This window comes from Homo sapiens, chromosome 16 (assembly GCF_000001405.40).
Source record: "Homo sapiens chromosome 16, GRCh38.p14 Primary Assembly".
In the NCBI taxonomy this organism is placed as follows: Eukaryota; Metazoa; Chordata; class Mammalia; order Primates; family Hominidae; genus Homo; species Homo sapiens.
Window position 1 is genome coordinate 5,578,983 of NC_000016.10, and position 19,799 is coordinate 5,598,781.

The following is a 19,799-nucleotide window of genomic DNA, read 5'->3' on the forward strand; positions in this document are numbered from 1 at the left end:
GACTACAGGCTTGTACCATCACGCCCGGCTAATTTTTGTATTTTTAGTAGAGACAAGGTTTCATTATGTTGGCCAGGCTGGTCTGGAACTCCTGACCTCAGGTGATCCCACTGCCTCAGCCTCCCAAAGTGCTGGGATTAGAGGCATGAGCCACCACGCCTGGCCACACCCCTAATTCTCTAAATTGGTCAAGACTGGACCTGCTATCGCCCCACCCAACTTGCACTTCCACTAGGATCGCCAGGCTCAGTAAATAGTGCAGGTAGCCAGACAGGTGCTTATGCAGAAACCCTCCAGGCATTCTTGCCTCCCGTCCGTCACTCCCCACCCACCTTCACTTTCCAGTCCTAGGAAATCTACTTCCTAATCTCCTCTTTCTCATCACTCCTCTTCTATGTGCCTCCCCCAGCATCCTTGATTCTGGGATTCCGCTTGTGGCCTCTTACTGTGCTCCCCGCATCCATGTGTGCACTCGTAGAATCCAGCCCCAGCCTCTCAAACACACACCTGACCTTGCTTCAACCCTCCTGCTGCTCACAGCGTGGCCTTTAAAACCCCCAATCCTCTAGTCCACCTGTTTCTCCAGCTCGCCCTGCTGCTCAAACCACGCCCTGGTGACCCCGTTTTGCTGGAGCTGCTCCTTCTGCCAACTCCTGCCATTCTTAGGGGAAACCTTCCCCAACTGGGTACACCAGGTAAGGTCTTGAAGCTCGCTTGACTTTTCCTTTCATGACACTTATCACACAGTCATTGCCCAGTTAATTCTTTTCTTTCTTTCTTTTTTTTTTTTTCCTTGAGAAGGAGTCTCGCTCTGTTGCCTAGGCTGGGGTGCAGTCACTCGATCTCAGCTCACTGCAACCTCCGCCTCCCGGGTTCAAGCTATTCTCCTGCTTCAGCCTCCCAAGTAGCTGGGATTACAGGTGCCTGCCACCACGCCCGGCTAATTTTTTTCTTTTTTTTGAATTTTTAGTAGAGACGGGGTTTCACCAACATGGCTGGACTGGTCTTGAACCCCTGACCTCAGGTGATGCACCCACCTTGGCCTCCCAAAGTGCTGGGATTACAGGTGTGAGCCACTGCGCCCAGCTGGCAGTTAATTCTTTATCTGCTCAGCATTACCTACAACAGCTTGTAAGCCCCAAGAGGGCCTGGACTCTGCCTCCCTCGTTCCCAGCTGCCTCCCTTGGCCCAGCGTAGTGATGGTGCCTAGGGGGACCCCAACAATGGATGCATGAATAACAGTTGGGCCTGAAGAGCCAGTGAGGGCAGCCTGGCTCTTCTGGGTTCTGGGAGCGCCGGCTGATTGGATTCCACTCTGATCTGGGAGCAGCTGCAGGGACTGATTGGTAATTGAGCTTGTGGGAAAACATCCTCAGCTGCGTGGGTCTCAGCCTGGCACCATTTTCCGAGGGGTAAGTGCCCACTGAGCTTGCAGAGCATCTCAAGGAGTGGGAGAAGTGGTTGTACGGATGGCCCCACTTCACCGCCTGGGTGACTTGGATGCCACCTGCTGCCAGGCGGCCAGCTGGGTGTGCCTTAGCTCAGAGCCAGGGCTGCTTGGCTGAGGTGCCAGCTCCAGCTGGTCCTGCTTCAACGCTGGTTGTTCCCTTTGTGAGGCTTCAGCCTTCAAACATCTGCTTTGTGTGGGTTTTGAGCTCCCCACACTGGATACCTTTGGGGAGAGGATGCAAACGTTACCTTTCACGGCATCTCACACTGCCCTGCGTCTGCACATAGAGGCCGAGAGGTGGGGACTCCTACACTTAGGTTTAATTAAAGGCAAACTGGTGGGATTCCAGCGAAGGGCAATCCAGACCCAGGAAGCTGTAGGGCAGATGGCATTTACATGGTCACCTGTCTTAATGATCCCATTCCTCAAAAGACAGAGCTGGGAATGACATGCATCCACGCTGGTCCTTCCCAGTCATTCTATGGATGGGAATGATGAGGACGTGACAGGCTAAGGCAAGGGAAACAGTTTTCCTTTATCTCAACTCTTCAGGAGAGGCTGGGATGATTCAAGGGCTGTCAGTGTGCACAGACCTGGGATGGATTTTTAATGAACCGGAAAGCGTTGTCTGTCTTCTTAGGTAAATGCAAATATCCACGTAGCCACCATTGTAGATGGCACTTGACAGATCCAGAGGAGAAGGGGGCAGGGCTTTCTTGGACTCCTATGTGCATTTTTTTTTCTGACAGAAAAGAAACTAGAAGCTAAAGCAAGAGTCTGCTTAAAAATTCTGCCAGTTCAGACCGAGTATTTTGTCATGTGCCAGGGACTGTGCTAAGTTCTACAAGGAATAGACTTTGGGCGGAGACAGAGGTCCTAACTCTAGCAAGTTGCTCTCCTTAGGAGGAATAAGCCATTTGTGTAATTAAACACTCTTTTGTCCAATACCTATGTGTGTCAGTGGGGCTGTGCTTGGTTCCTGGAGGGAGAATCCAGTGGCAACCTTGGAACAGGAATGGAGTACACGAGTCAGTGGTGGAGGCAGACATCTACTTTGTAATTATGTATACACAAGTAACTAATTACAAGCTTTAGGAAGTGTCACAGGGCTAATGGGCATGATGCTGCAAGAGCATGTTACAGGAGTCTCATGGTTAGTGTGGAACATCAGGGAAGGCTTCCTGGAGGAGGTGATGTCTGGACTTTGACATGAAGGATGTGTAGGAGTTAAGTTGCAGAATGGGAACAGGGAACTCTCCAAGCCAGGGTGACAGACAGCTGATGCAAGGGTCAAAAAGAAACACTGTATAGTTGCAGCTCATGACAGGGGCCAGAGTAGTGGAAGAGGAGGGAGGAGCGAGTGGGAGGCAGACCATATGCAAGGTGGGCCCAGGTAAGGTGTTAGGATATTATCTAGGGACAAAGAGAGGCCTCTGAGAGGTAGGAAGTGATGCAAGATTTAGGAACAGAAGCAAGGACGCTGTAATGTAGATGAGTAAGTGTAGTTGAAGGCAAAACTGAGAAACTCCTTTGGGGTTTATGCACAATGCAGGATTACATTTAAGCAGCAGTTGTTTCGAACAGAAGGTGGCTTCTAATTGCAGATGTTCAGCATAGAATCCACATTCAAACTTGCAATTATTTCACTGTTAAAAGAGCTGACAGCTCCCTCTTCTGCAGGCAGGCAGTCTCGAGGGAGCCCTAATCCCAGGGACTTGTATTACTCTCGCCCCGGGAGTACCAGACCTCACTCCCATGAGGTTGCACCACAGGAAGTGAGGCTGGGGTAGCGACAGGCTGGTGGGGAGTTAGGAGCATCTGAGGCATGACTGGGGCTGCACGGGCCTTCACAGCAAGCTGAGTTAAAGAGTGCAGTGACACGGCTTAGCGAAGTTGGGCTCACCTTCCACACAGGGCATTGGACTGGAGCCGGTGGAAAACATGGACCACACTGGCCGTCGTGATTGGCATTGCCGGGTATTGTGGAACTGAGGTGCAAGTACAGTGCCCCTGTTAACGATGAGGAAACCAAGACCAGAGAGGTTAAACAGCCCTCCAAGGTCAAAGCCAGAGCAGAGCTGGGACTTGAACCCAGGCATTTTCAAAGCACGTCACTTTTTTTTTTTTTTTTTTTTTTTTTAAACGGAGTCTTTGTTGCCCAGGCTGGAATGCCAATGACGTGATCTTGGTTCGCTGCAGTGTCTGCCTCCTGTGTTCAAATGATTTTCCTGCCCCAGCCTCCCAAGTAGCTGGGACCACAGGCATGAGCCATCACACCCACGCTCGGCTAATCAAAGCCCATCATCTCAACCTCTGCCTCCTGCCCTGCCTCGGATGACCCTGGGAAGTTCATTGAGGAGGTGGTTATCAGTTCAGCCCCAAGTGCAGAAGGCAGAAGAGCCTGGGTGACAGATTTTAGATTCTGCCTCTCATTCAACTGTGTATCCTTAGGCTTACCCTCTGTGGGCCTGGTTTGTGAGATGAGCTAAAAATCAGTGATAATGTTGAGCACTCGGGAGCCAGGCTCTATTGTGAGACCTTTACAGACATTAACTCATTTAACTTCTCACTCTGTCCTCTTTTTAACAGATAAGGAAACTAAGGCACAGAAAGGTAACATGCCCAAGTTCACACAGCTAGGGAGAGGTTGAGCCTGACTTTGAACCCTGGCAGTTTGGCTTGCACGTTCTTGCAGAGCTCAAATACATTCAAACAAAAAATTGTACAGCCATAGAATGCCATGCGCAGCAAAAGCCAATACCTGTGAACATCCATTCATGTTATTTAACTGTTGTTAAAGCCAACTAAATATGGCCTTAGAAGGACTCCATACTTCTATATTTGAGTTCTTGGGGACAAACCGTAACCTAGCTTCATAGGCAGACAACAATGAAAAGCTAACTTAATAGTATGTATCTGTAATAATAGCTGAGTGTTGGCCAATCCCAGCGGCCATACTTCAACCACTTGTAGACTGCTGAGTGTTCAAACTGCGTTCAAATAAGTCAAACGCCGAGCTCTAACCAAGCTCGCTTCTGATTCCTGTACGTCACTTTACTTTTTTTTGTCTGTAAATTTGTTCTGACCGCGAGGCAATCCTGGAGTGTCTCTGAATCTGCTGTGATTCTGGAGGCTGCCTGATTCACGAATTGTTTCTTTTCTTTGCTCGATTAAACTCCATCAAGTTGAACTTGTCTGAAGTTTTCTTTTAACATTGGGCTGGGCTTCAGTTTCCTCTCTGTAAAGTGGGGTCGATAAGAGCTAAGATTTATTGGGCTTTTAGGATTGTCTCATTTTAGGATTGTCCTATGATGTAGGCTGTTAGCCCCATCTTATAGAGGGGAAAACTGTGGCTCAGAGAAATGGAGTGAGCTGCTCAAGGTTATAAGTCTGCTGAAATAAACAGCAGCATCTTCAATGCTGGGCTGCCCCAGTCTAGAGCCCATGGCCTGAACCTCTGCCATGTAGAGTTTGTCTGGTGGTGCCATCTTCCTTTGGAGGGACTTCTCTCCGGGAATGGCCCAGGGAGCTCAAGGCTGTGCCAGCCATTCCTGGTTCCACCGAGTCTGGGTCACATCCCTCTAATCAGCCTGCCTAGTACCCCGTGCTCCAAGTATCCCATTTCTGCATCAGTGGCCTGTGATGTCATGTGGGTTACTGACAACTCCTCTCTCAGGAGCCCTGAGGAAACCCTGGGCAGATTGAATAAAAAGCCCTTGTCAGACATCCTAATTTTAGTGTTCTCCCTTGTGATTATGTTCAGGAAGTATTTATTTTACACTTCACTTGTTTTGCCATTCTCCCCAACTTCATTTTGCAAGAGCTTCTGTAATAATCCGTGTCTCTTTCAGCAGCTCCCCTGCTCTTCTTGTCCTTGGGAAAACTTGAGTGCTGTGTTCAGCATCTTGAGCCAGAAATATGTCGGAGTTTCATCTTGCATCACTAATGCCCTCCTTTATCACCAAGCTGCATCTCCCAGCATTTTTGCCAGACTTCTTGATGTTCCGTCTTCCCTTGTCTCATTACGTCTATTTCTGATACCATTGCCCACTTGCAAATGGACATTTTTCATGCTGTGAGTTCCCTCACAAGGGCACAGAGACCAAGGGTAGGCTGGCTTTTTTCCCCCTTCAGCTTCTGTTTTCTGGAACTTTTCCCTTGCGTGGCAGCACAGGCAGGTGGGTCATTGTCTCCTGAGTGTGGTTACCCTCAGGTGTCTGAGGCTGTCCCTGTGACACAGATGGGAGAGGAGGGCTGGGTATTGTTAACCAGTCCCCACTCACTTTAGATGGAAGTTCTCATTGCACCGGGGACTGTAGTTCTGTTACTGCTTGGGCCTGTTTCTTGATTCAGTGAATTGGCAACTGTATTAGACATTGCTGATACAGACCCTATTAATTTTAATGGCTTTTGAGATGCATGGAGAGGAAAGCTTCTTTTGATTGTACAGATGTGTGTAGAAATCTGTGGTTTTATATATTTATTTTTATTTGAAAAAATACGGTCAAAGCACAAAGGGAGGGATAGAAGTCTGGGTCTGCTGGGAATTTTTTGGAAGTCTTCTGTAGAAAATAAAGGCAGCCTCCACATAGCATAAAATTAACCATTTTGGAGTTAACAATTCAGTGGCATTTAATACTTTCACAGTGTTGTACAGCCGTCACCTCTATCTCATTCCAAAATATTTTAATCTCCCCAAAATAAAACCCTGAATCCCTTAAGGAACTACTCCCCATCCTGCCCTCCCCCCGTCCCTGGAAATCACTAATCTGTTTTCTGTCTCTACAGGATTGCGTTTTCTGGATATTTCACATCAGTAAAATTATGCAATGTATGGTATTGGTAACTGGCTGCTTTTGTTTAGCATAATGTTTTCAATGTTCATCCCTGTTGTGGAATGACTCAGTCCTTCTTTTTTAAGGCTGAATAATATTCTGTTGTATGGCTGAGCCATGTTTTATTGATCTGTTCATCCAGTGATGGACATCTGGGGTGTTTCCTGCTTTGGGCTCTCTTGGGATTTTTAAACTTGTAGACATGTGCCGTGGTCTGGATCCATGGTTGCCCTTGGCCTGTAGCTATTTGTTTCTTGTGAGTATCCTGTGTCTTGATTGACTTACCTCTGTGGAGAGTGCAGCTAGGTGTGTATGAGCTTCTGTGGTTTGTGAGACTATGGGATATCCCGATGAAAGGGCTGACAAGGCCCCTTATAGATACCCTACCACGTTATGGGGTGACCCTGACTTCCCCAAAGCCATCGGCTTCTAGGACCACTGCAGCATTTATGCAGGGTGTAGACCTGGGTTTACCATCTAACTGTATGTGGCCATCACCTGGGTGGATTCAAGAACTGCAGATCCTTGGTCTTCACTGCTGGAGATTCCAACCTGATTCGTGTGAAGTAGAACAAAATTCTTGGCATTTTTTTTGGTGTGCTCTAGTGGGTTGAATAGTGGCTCCCAAAAGATTTGCTCAAGTTCTGGACCCTGGAACCTGTGAATATGATCTTATGTGGAAACAGGGTCTTTACAGATGGAATAAATTCAGGGATGTCATGATGAGATTATCTTCCCCTAAATCCAACGACTGGTGTCTTTAAAAAAGACATAAAGGGAGAAGACACAGTGCCGTGCAGAGAAGAAGGCCATGTAGAAACAGAGGCAGAGACGGGACTGATGCTTCTACAAGCCAAGGCACCTTGAGGATCTCTGTGGCCAGCAGAAGTTGGGGGAGAGGCAGAGCATAAATTATCCCACAGAACTTCTAGAAGGAGCCAGCCCTGCCCACACCTTGGTTTCAGACTTCAGGCCTTCAGAACTATGAGAGAATACATTTCACTTATTTTAGACCACTCAGTTGGTGGCAATTGCGTGACGGCAGCCACAGGGAACTAAAGTACATGTTTTTAAAGCTCGCTGGGTGATTATCATATAAAGCCAAATTTGGAGACCACTGCCTTTGACTGTGCCAGAACTCATGCTAAGAGCTTTATATATGTTATTTCATTTACTTCTGACTCAAGTAGATAGTTTTACTAACTATTGCTATTATTATCCCTAATTTTATTTGTTCATTCATTCGTTCAAGACAGGTTTCACTCTGTCTCCCAGGCTGGAGTACAGTGGCATGATTATAACTCACTGCAGCCTCAACCTCCTGGGCTCAAGCAATCTCCCCATTGCAGCTCCTAAGTAGCTGGGGCTACAGGCATGTGCTACCACACTCATCTAATTAATTTTTTCTGCCTGTAGAGAGGGGAACTTGCTGTATGGCACAGGCTGGTCTTGAACTCGTGGCGTCAATGATCTCCCACCTCTGCTTTCTAAAGTGCTGGGATTACAAGTGTAAGCCACCATGGCTGGCCCCCATTACCCCCAGTTTTACAGATAAGGAGAGTGAGGAGCTGAGGTAGCATTGATGAGGTTTGGACCAGGACAGTATCCTTGAAATGCTGACACTCTTAGCTGCTCTGTTCTGCTGGCAGGCACTTAGCAGGTTCTTAAATGTTACTGGCTGAATTGTGTTGTCATTGAACCTTCCTGTGCTGCCCAGATGCCCTTCCCAGAGCAAATCCTGAAAAGAAGGCAAGTAGAGGAAAACCTGGGTCTCAGCCCCAGAGGGAGCCAGGGCAGAAAGCTCTGAAAATGGACATGGCCCATTGGTTATGCACCTGAAACTGACATGACCAAGATGCTTTAGGATAAGACACTGTTCAAAAGTGAGCAACCCATTGAGTTGGGAGAGTATATATGCAAATTGCATATCTGTAAGAGACTTACATCTAGAATACATAAAATTCAGCAATACAGACACAACTCAATTAAAAAATGGGCAAAGTGTCCGAATAGACATTCCTCCAAAGAAGATTCACAAATGGCCAGTAATCACATGAAAAGATGCTCGACATCGTCAGTCATCGGGAAAATGCAAGTCAAAACTGCAGGGAGATACCACTGCACACCCATTAGAATGGCTAGAATCTAAAAGTCAGATAATTGGGCCTGGTGCGGTCGCTCACGCCTGTCATCCCAGCACTTTGGGAGGCTGAGGCAGGTGCATCACCTGAGGTCAGGAGTTTGAGACAAGCCTGGCCAACATGGTGAAACCCCGTCTCTACTAAAAATACAAAAATTGGCCAGGCCTGGTGGCAGATGCCTGTAATCCCAGCTAATCTGGAGGCTGAGGCAGGAGGATCACTAGAACCCAGGAGGCAGAGGTTGCAGTGAGCCAAGATCGCGGCACTGTACTCCAGCCTGGGCGACAGAGCGAGACTCTGTCTCGAAAAAGTCAGATAATTTTAAGTATTGATGAGAATATGGAGGGACCTGAGCCCTCATAAACAGCTGTCACTTGAGAAAACAGCCAGAGAGTTCCTCAAATATTAAGCAAAGAGTTGTCGTATAAGCCAGAAATTCTACTTCCATGTATGTACCCCACAGAAGTATCAACCTATGTCCTCATGATAACGTGTGCGGGAATGCTCACAGTAACATTATTTTTCATAGCCAAAAGGTGACAGTTACCTAAATGTCCATCAGCAGATTCGTGGAAAAACAAAGGTGGTCTCTCTATGCAATAGAATATTTTCAGCAATAAAAAAGGCCTGCATCCCTGATGCCTGCTGTAACTTGTTTGAACCTTGGGAACATGATGCTGAGAGAAAGAAGCCAGGCACAAAAGACCATAGATTGTGTGAATTCATTTACATGAAAGTCCCACACAAATAAATCCATAAAGAAGAAAGTAGATCGGTGATTGCTTGGGGCTGTGGGAATGGGGGGATGGGGGATGGAGGATGGAGGTGATGGAGTTTCATGGTGATGAAAACGTTGTAAAAATGCAACGATGGTCACACACACCTGTGAACATACTAAAACCCATGGAATTGTACACTTAAAATGGAAGAATTACTAGGTGAATTAGCTCAATAAAGTTTGGAAAAAAAAATGACTGAGAATTGTGGCACAGAGGCCGAGTCCCCTTCCTGGTTCTGCCACTTAGCTGTGGGGTCATGTATTGAAGCACATAGTAAATGCGCAATTAAGTAGCATTCTGCTTTTTTTTCTAGTTTTACAGTCCAGGCAATCCAGGCACTTCATCTTCAGTGGCATCAGTGTTGACTTTGTCTGACGTGGGCTGTTTTGTGTCTCTATGACCGAGTTACGTATTTAAGGGCAACAGTCCTCAGCACGTCCCCATGTGAGCAATGGACAGCACTTTGCAGACTTAGAGGGCTGGGAGGGCATTGAATTGGGAGAGGCATGAACCACTTTATATCCAACAATGATCACTCTGGCTGTCAAGAATTGACTGAGGGTCGGGGGGAAATGGAGTCAAGCCGGTCTTTTTTTGGAAGCCACTGCAACAAAAGTGATCTGAGTTCAGGCATTAGCATTACAGATGCCCACATGAGACAGGATTTTGCAGGTGGAGGTATTTTACAGGTTGAGAGGTACAATTGGGTGGTTGATTGGATGCACAGGTGAGAATACAGGGCTGGCTTTTGCAGAAACAAAGAGTTGAGGATGGTTTGGGGCTGCCTAGATGTCATGGCCTCATAGGAGCAGTTTGTTAATCTTCTGGATGTAGCTGAAAAACTGCATAGAGAGGGCATCCATCAGGGATGGCAGGGCCAAGGCAGTGGGTATGGAGTGGGGTGGGAAGAAACCGCCTCCTTATGGGAGATGTTGTAAAGATGGGTTTCCCCAATCTGCTGGGTCCAGGACCCACTGTAAGAAGCTGTTGGCCCCTATCTGCACTTGGCCACATCCCTGGTGGGTTTGTGGGGCGGTGGTGGAGGGAACATGAGTGTACCAAGGGAATGCTTCTGTTCCTTTGCATGGTTTGTACAAGGAAGTGTGGTGTGTGCTGGGGTCATTTGCCTGAGGCTCAGGGGTCCCAGCGTTCAACTTAGATGGGCTGCTTTTAAGTTGGCCAACCTGGGGCAAGTCACTTGCCCTCTCTGAATCCAATTTACTCACCCAAAAATGAGGATGAGCGTTCTCTTTCTAGAAACACATAACATTATTATGTCCATCTTCCAGAGGAAGAAACTCAGAGGATAGAAGGTAAGTATCTTGTCCAAGGCCATATAGCTCATTAATAGATCAAAGGTGATTTGGACTCCAGAGCCTGTTTAACCCTCACACTATTCTACGTGTTGATGAAGGATCACTACATGAAAGTGGCTAGTCCTAGGCCAGTTCTCCAGGATGTGTAACCTTTGGCAAAGTCCATAATGGACTGGGTTGAAGCATTCTGTAAGGTTACCTAGTCCTCATTTTAAGTAATTTAACAAGTGTAGAGTCTGAAGCTCAGAGAGGTGAAGTCACTTTCCCAGGACTCACACAGCCACCCAGACAGACTCCTGGCTTGACCCCAACTCTACGTGACCCCCAGTGCAGCTCTCCTTCCACTCCACTGCCTTGGCCTGCAGAGGGTTGCTTTGCTGGATCCTGTTAATCTTGTCCATCCCACACTCACACCTGGGGCCACTGGGCCATGGTACCAGGGTCTCCCCTGTCACTGCCTTGACTGACGTGAGACTGGGTTTTCTATTCCTGCCTCTTGACGACTTAGACAACAGCCTAGCGTTTCAGAGGAGTCTGCGTGTTACACACACACACACACACACACACACACACAAAAAGGGCAGCAGGTGTTATTTGGGCTAAATTGACCTTGAAATTGATTTCTTTATTTTATGACTTACTGAGAGGAGATTAATACTTTTTTTTCCTGCAGTCTGAAACGATTTACATGGTAATAGAAGGCATAGTCAGTCAAATAAATTGCTGGAAGTGGTAGTGTTCCAAAGAGGGGAAAAAAAACCGAGCTCACTTGCATTGATTTCTTTGCCCTGGGGAGAAGCAGAGATTTTAACATCTGGGAATAGGGAGGTAAATTTTATCTCTCATTTGAAAAGCAGAGGACTGAAGAGTTTAATCTGACATTTACACAGAATTTTCTAAGTTGGGGGAAATGAGGGTAGCCTGAGTTCCTTGCTGAAAGTTAACTGGCATTTCCTACGAAGGGCTGGGGGTGGTTTGATTCAGAATGGGCAGGGGAAGCCTCGGTGTCATTATGATGAGCTTGGAAGTTGGCTGCATGCTCTTGGCTGCCGTACTGTGATTCGGGGCGTGATGGAGGAATGGGGTGGTGGTAGCGGACTGTCTGCCAAAGATTCAAATTCACTCCCAGATCGGGCACTGAGGAACCATATGGGTGGAGGCCATGCTTCCAGCTTTCTGGGCATTGCCTTTTGGTCACCCTACCCCAGGAGGGGGTTTAATGTTCGCAGATGCTTCAGCTCACACAGATCAGTGGGATTTGCCAGCTTGCCTGGAGCATTGGGTTGAAATCTGAGAGTGCATCTACCTCAGTGGTAAAATGCAGTGATTGATTAGTACTGCCTACCCTGGGAACAGGAGGGGTACTGGTGGCTTGCATGCTGTTTATGTTTCCTGGTGAAATCCATTAAGGTATTACCCCAATGCCAGCATTTCTGCATTCAGACCACACTGAAAGGACTCCTGTCGTCCAAAGCGACCCCAAATTCATTTAGCATGTGATGTGAGCTAAACATTTTTTTTTTTTTTTCGGAAAATGGCAAGAAATGAAGCCTTACCCAAAGGGTTCTTGCCAATGTTGTCATGTGTTTTTCCCTTAAATTATTTTCTTTTAAAAATCAAATAAAAAGTATCGGGTAGCATAAAAAATATTTTCCTCAATAATACATGCCCAGTGTACAAAATTCAAGGGTCAGAAATATAAAATGAGTTTTCCTGCTACCACATCCTTTTCCTTCTCCAAAATGAACCTTTTTTTTTTTTTTTTGAGACGGAGTTTCTCTTTTGTTACCCAGGCTGGAGTGCCATGGCATGATTTCAGCTCACTGCAACATCTGCCTCCTGGGTTCAAGTGATTCTCCTGCCTCAGCCTCCCTAGTAGCTGGGACTACAGGCACCCACCACTGTGCTCGGTTAATTTTGTGTTTTTAGTAGAGATGGGGTTTCACCATGTTGGCCAGGTTGGTCTCGTACTCCTGACCTCAGGTGATCTGCCTGACTCAGCCTCCCAAAGTGCTGGGATTACAGGCGTGAGTCACTGCGCCTGGTCCAAAATGAGCCTTTTAAAAAATATCAGTTTCTTCTCTGTCTTCTGAAGATTTCAGTGGATATACTAGAAATGCCTATATTCTTAAAACAATGAACAGATGTGGAGTACTATACATACCACTGAGCATTTTACTGTTTTCTCCCCGTCATTCCATATAAAGCTACCTCATTATCTTAACTGACAGTGTCTGGATTCACTATAACTTATTTACTTGGCATCTGAATAATGGAATTTATGTTGTTCCCAGTATTTTGTAATTACAAAAAGGCTTCCATGAATATCCTTGGCACAAGTCATGTTATACTCATGCAGATGTTTAAACAGCAGACACTCGAAAAATGGAATCCCTAGTCCGAATATTATCAACTTTTAAAATGTTGGCCAATGTATAATTTCACTGTGTATAAAGAATACTTGTTGCCCTAGAGTCTTATAATTTCCATGCTTTATTCAAATTTCTTCTTTGTCAGTCTCCGTAAAAAATAATATATTGCCTTATTTGCATTTCTTTTATTATGGTTGAAGTTTTAATTACAAGGATTATGGGGATTTCTTAATGTGCATAAGAGGTATTTGCATGACCATCTTGTGAAATTGTCTGTACATTTCCTTTGCTTGTTTTTTTCTATGGACTTCCTTTGGTGTTTTCCTTATTGACTGGGGCGAAGCTCTTTATAAATGATGTTATCTCTTTGTTCAGTGGGTTTTAATTTTCTCAGATTGCCCTTTGTCTTCTACTTTGTTTATGGTATTTTTTTCATGCATACAATTATATATGCGCAGAATTTTAAATCTTTTGTTTTGAGGCTTTTGGTTTGGGGGTCATAATTAGAAGGATCTTCACTACCACTCTGAGATTATAAAAATCTTTTTTTTTTTTTTCTGAGATGGAGTCTTGCTTCATCGTCCAGGCTGGAGTGCAGTGGCACGATTTCGGCTCACTGCAACCTCTGCCTCCTGGGTTCAAGCGATTCTCCTGCCTCAGCCTCCCCGGTAGCTGGGATTACAGACTCCCACCACCATGCCTGGCTAATTTTTGTATTTTAGTAGAGATGGGGTTTCACCATGTTGGCTAGGCTATAAAAATCTATTTTATTATGTTAAGTCCTCTGTTTGGACCATGCATTAAGGAGTTATTTTGATGTTTTGCCTCCAAGAAGGAAGTCTCTGAGGTGTGGTGGAAATGTGTGTGGTCTGTGTTCATCCAACAGCCATGATCTGGCCTCATAGGCTCCTCAGCCTGCTTGCTTTCTCTTGGCGTCCAGAATTCCCAAGGAGATATGTCAGAGCCCTGGGGTCAGAACACTTTAGGGTTCCGTGGGCCCTGGCAGCCTGGTAGACCTTTAGAGCTGTCAGTGGTGCGGGGGCCAGAGCAACTCCATCTTGAATAGGAGCTGGATAAAATGAGACTGAGACCTACTGAGCTGTGTTCCCAGATGGTTAAGGCATTCTAAGTCACAGTGTGAGATAGGAAGTCAGCACCAAATACAGGTCATAAAGAACTTGCTTATAAAACAATAGCAAAGACCTGGAACCAACCCAAATATCCATCAATGATAGACTGGAGAAAGAAAATGTGGCACATATACACCATGGGATACTGTGCAGCCATAAAAAAGGATGAGTTCATGTCCTTTGCAGGGACATAGATGAAGCTAGAAACCATCATTCTCAGCAAACTAACACAGGAACAGAAAACCAAACACTGTATGTTCTCACTTATAAGTGGGAGTTGAACAATAAGAACACATGGACACGGGGAGGGGAACATCACATACCGGGGCCTGTCAGAGGGTGGGGGGTTAGGGGAGGGATAGCATTAGGAGAAATACCTAATGTAGATGATGGGTTGATGGGTGCAGCAAACCACCATGGCACATGTATACCTATGTAACAAACCTGCACTTTCTGCACATCTATCCCAAAACTTAAAGTATAATTTAGAAAAAAAAGATCTTTCTGATAAAACAGTTTGCAGTGGAGAAGTTGGCCAAAACCCACCAAAACCAAGATGGTGATGAGAGTGACCTCTGGTCGTCCTCACTGCTACACTCCCACCAGCGTCATGACAGATTACAAATGCCATGGCGATGTCAGGAAGTTACCGTATATGGTCTGAAAAGAAGAGGCATGAATAATCCATCCCTTGTTTTGCGTATCAAGAAATAACCATAAAAATGGGCAACCAGCAGCCCTGGGGACTGCTCTATGGAGTGGCCATTCTTTTATTCCTTTACTTTCCTAATCAACTTGCTTTTGCTTTACTGTGGAGTCGCCCTGAATTCTTTCTTGCGCGAGATCCAAGAACCCTCGTTTGGGGTCTGGATCGGGACCCCTTTCCTGTAACAGAGGTACTGACCCCATTTGTCTTACACAACCTTGGTCCTTGAAGGTCTCCGTGCTTCATCCGTAGGAACCCGTGATACACCACCCCCATCCTGCCCCCACACCTTCTGCCCATTGTTCATGAGGCTTTGGTCAGCCATGGCCTTGGCTTGGAGCTTTGCACAATGTTGGTCCACGTAGGTTTTACTGGCGCCATCATTGGGAACTCATCATGCACCCAGAACCCCACCTCTGACCCCACACCCTCTGTCCATTGCTCAGGAAGCTTTGATTGGCCATGGTCTTGGCCTTCTGTTAACCTGTAGGATGGAGTGTTTATTTTTTTCCACCTCCTACATCTTTATTCTATGTGACTATAGATACAAAGATTGATACATCTGGATGTGGCTATTCATAGGTGGGCACATAAACGCTCACAAGATTACATGAATATGTCTGTGAGCCCCGAAAATCTGAGACACAGGTCTCAGTTAATTTAGAAAGTTTATTTTTCCAGGGTTGAGGACACAGGCCTGTGACACAGCCTCAGGAGGTCCTGACGACATCTGCCCAAGGTCAGAGCATAGTTTGATTTTATACATTTTAGGGAGACATAAGACATCAATGCATATGCAAGGTGAACATTGGTTTCTTCATCTGGAAAGGCGGGAGAACTTGAAGCAAAGGCAGGAAGACAGGGAGACACTGGGAGAGGAGGCTTCCAGGTCAGAGGTAGAAAAGAGACAAATGGTTTCATTCTTTTGAGTTTCTGATTAGCATCTCCAAAGGAGACAGTCAGATAGATAGGCATTTATGTCATTGAGCAGAGAGGTGACTTTGAATGCAATGGGAGGCAAGTTGGCCCTAAACAGTTCCTAGCTTGACTTTTCCCTTTAGCTTAGTGATTCAGGGGCCTCCAAGATTTATTTTACTTTTACATGTCTATGTAAGTATTTATATACACAAAAATGTGTGGCTGAATGTGGTGGCTCATGTCTATAATCCCAGCACTTTGGGAGGTTGAAGCAGGTGGATCACTTGAGGTCAGGAGTTGGAGACCAGCCTGGCCAACATGGTAAAACCCTGTCTCTACTAAAAAAAAAAAAAAAAAAAAAAAAAAATTAGCCAGGTATGGTGGTGGGCACCTCCAATCCCAGCTGCTCAGGAGGCTGAGGCAGGAGAATTGTTTGAACCTGGGAGGTGGAGGTTGTGGTGAGTCAAGATCCTGCCACTGCACTCTAGCCTGGGTGTCAGAGCAAGACTCCATCTCAAAAACCACAAAAAAACCATGTTTCCCCAAAGACATTTCCAAACAGGAAAAGACCCTGTAAAGGCAGTTGTTATGCAAAGAATATCACCTTCTAATGCCACCTCTGGGAGCTGACACCAGCCCATGACAAATCTGTATTGGATGATGTTTGATGGCCCATCTGGGATCTCTGCCTGGGTCACTGTCTTAACTGGCTAAATCCTTGCTGCTGGGGATTCATGTCCCAGCTTTTGAAAGCTGTAAACTGAGGCGCAAGAGGGCATACATTTCCAGGGGAGACTACTAGACTTCTAACAAGTGGGTGGAAAATGAGGGAGCAGAACTTGCAGGGAAGAGAAGAATGGCAGACAGCGACCAGAGTGACAGCTGGTTCGGGACCCTGGTTTGGGATCTAAAAAGGGTTGCAGATCAGATCTTCTCTGTACGCCTCAAGAATTTTCATCTGAATGGATCAGGCCAGCTCAAATGATATGGAGGCTTATTGTAAGGATTCAGGGAAAAGACCTGGGCTTTCTGAAAACCAGAACAGTATCAGACAGCCACTACCTCCCTCGCTGCATCTCTTGGCTCTGTTTCCCCAACTCAGTCAGACTTAGAATGTTAATATGTGCTTGTCTCTGTTTTCGAGTTAAGGAGGAAAATAGGGACACACGGGATTGGGCACAGAGCTTGCTGCTTTGTTCAGATAGCACAGGGACTGCGTTAAGAAGGAGGGTGCTAATCTAGGGTTAGGGTGCATGTCTAGTTCCAGGGTATGGAGAGGTGTAAAAGTGGCAGGAAGGGCAGAAAAAGTCTCTTGAGAAGAGCAGATTGAGTTGGTACCATCTTCTGTCTCCTAGGAGTGAAGGCTTCCTGTGCTCCTGATGAAAATGACACGGAAGTGCGGCACAATGAGAGATAGACAGCTAAAGAGGACACCAGGCCTCTGGGACCTCAGGCTCAGGGATGTGGAGAGGGAAAGCCCCTAGCTAGGGGGAAGGGGCTGGAAAGTGTGGAAGGGGCAAAGAGGAAGAAGGCTCTGCAGGGGCAGCTGGATAGGAATTTCATCTGGTAGCTAGGTTCCCAAGTAAGATCATACTCGAGTGTGAGTCCTAACTTGTCTATTTCCAGGCTCTGGGATACTGGTTGCCTAGATCCTCTATTCTCTTTTCTTCCAATCAGCTTCCCCTGGAAGACTCTTAATTTTGACTCAAACCTAATTTTACCTTCCTAAGGCTGGTGGTTGCTACGAAGCCAATACTGGCTTCACATGCAAGGTCTTGGACTTAGGAAGTCCAACACAATGCAGTGACCATTTCCATGGGTCTCTGTTTCTGTTACTGAGAAAGACAGATTGATTCATGCTGCCTGGGGCAGGAGTGTGTCCCTAGACTAGATGGAATTGGGCAAGGTACTGGGTCACCTGTGAGTCTGGGAGGGAGGCCCGTCTCAAAGAAAGGACCAGGCTGTAGATAGGGATCCCAGGGCATCTAGTAACACTTGGGTCTTGTCACTGGGTTGAAATCTGCTATTGCGCTTAACTCGTTGATCAAGTGCAGTTTTTTCTTGGTCCATCTATAAAGTGGGACTGAAAAGAAAGTGACAAAAGCCAGACATTCTCAGACCAGTGGACATTCTCTCAAAGGAGAATTGACGCATCTGGCAGCAAAATCACTGCATCATCCTCCTCCCCCTTCTCTCCCCATTCAGGCTACTACTTTAGACAGTCGCTGGAAGCAGGGGACATCATTTGTGTTTATTTGTTCACTTCAATAAGCTGGAGGGTGGATGTGGCATGAGGACCATTCTCTGTGTTGAGGAAGGAGGGGAACAAACACATTTTTGATTTCTTGGTCACCAGATTTTTCCATGACCAATGTCTACTAGAAAACTGCAAAAAGAGAAACAATAAAATATGTGTCTTCTCATTATAAGTTCAGAAACGATGTACAGAAACAGAAATCCCAGAACTCTGTGGGTGGGTCTGAGTAATTCTTGTGGCTGGTACAGGAAAGAGTAGGTAGCTTCTGTCCCCCTCTGTTTCTCTCTCTTTTGATATCTGTGTCTGTCTATATCTTTGTCTCTCTCTCTTTTTATACACCTCTCCTTCCCACCCCCCTCCCGCTTTCTCTGCACCTCTCTGTCCTTCCCTCTTTCTCTCCGTTGCTCTCCCGCCCTCTCTCTTTTGAGACAGGGTCTTGCTTGAGACACACACGACCCTCTCTCTGCCCAGGAAGTTAAAGGGGTGACCCCAGGCCAAAGCTTGCTGACTTTTTTTTTTTTTTTTTTTTGAGTTGGGGTTTTGATCTCGTCGCTCAGGCTGGAGTGCAATGGCGGTGGTCTTGGCTCACTGCAACCTGTACCTCCCAGGTTCAAGCGATTCTCCTCCCTTAGCCTCCCAAGTAGCTGAGATTACAGGTGCCCGCCACCACAGCCTGGCTGATTTTGTACTTTTAGTAGAGACGGTGTTTCACCATGTTGGCCAGACTAGTCTGGAGCTCCTGACCTCAGGTGATCTGTCCGCCTCGGCCTTGCTGACTTTTGATTAATGACATTGTAGAGCTTTAGGCATTGCTGACACTTTTGAGGCAGGAGCAGTTCCCTAGAGTTGATGGTGGCCAGCTTTAACATGCTCCTGCGCTGTACCTCGTGGAAAGGTGGACGAAGGCTTTGGGAATACTACGACGGTGATTCACATCCCAGTGTTTGCAGTAGGCATGCTCAGTTCAAGCTGAGGCTCCACTGCAACCCTGCTGAGTGCTGTGTTACCTTGGACAAATCCGTCAGCCTCTCTTTTGCTTCTTCACCTGTGAGACGGGGCTGAGGTTAAGACCTACTTCTTAATACCCTAGTAAGGATTCAGGGTGAAAATGCACAAGAAATACACAGTGGCTGGGTGTGGTGGCTCAGGCCGGTAATGTTAGTACTTTGGGAGGCCGAGGCAGGTGGATCACCTGAGGTCAGGAGTTCGAGACCAGCCTGGCCAACATGGCGATTCCCTGTATCTACTAAAAATACAAAAACTTATCCAGGTGTGGTGGCGGGTGCCTATAGTCCCAGCAACTTGGGAGGTTGAGTGACAGAGGGAGACTCTGTCTCAAAAAAAAAAAAATAAATAAAAAAAGTAGTGCATAGCATTGCAGATGCTCCCTAGATGCAAAGTGTTGCTGGAGTGGAAGGTGGAAGGTTAGGGACCCCCAGCATCCTCGGTCTGGGACGAGGAGTCCACACTGAGAAACATCCGGACCAGCACTGCCTCAGGAGTGTCAGCGGAGTCAAAGATGCAATTTAGCATTTGCTGGTAGCCACACTAAAAAGTAAAAAGAAACGGATGAGATTAACTGTAATAATAAACTTCCTTTGAGATAGTCTTAATATATTTACATTTTTAAACATAGCAATATATTTTATTTTTATATATTATTAAATGTCTTTCTAACATGTAATCGATATAAAAATAATGAAATATTAATATTAATGAGGTGTTTTATATTCATTTTCTTCATCATGTCCTGAAAACCCAGTGACTATTTTATGTATACAGCCCATTTCAATGAGACTAGCCACGGGGCTTTGTAGCCATATCGGGCTTGTGGCCATTGCGCAGGGCAATGCAGGTCTTGACCCCTGCAGGGGATGGGTGGAGAGACAGAGGGT

The 19,799-nt window shown here is 46.3% G+C and overlaps 1 protein-coding gene across 4 annotated transcripts in view; it reads left to right on the forward strand.

Annotated features, from left to right (window-relative positions):
- The window catches only part of RBFOX1 (RNA binding fox-1 homolog 1), a 2,473,620-nt gene that overhangs the window by 339,262 nt on the left and 2,114,559 nt on the right, over positions 1–19,799 (forward strand). The gene's annotated exons all lie outside the window — the stretch shown is intronic.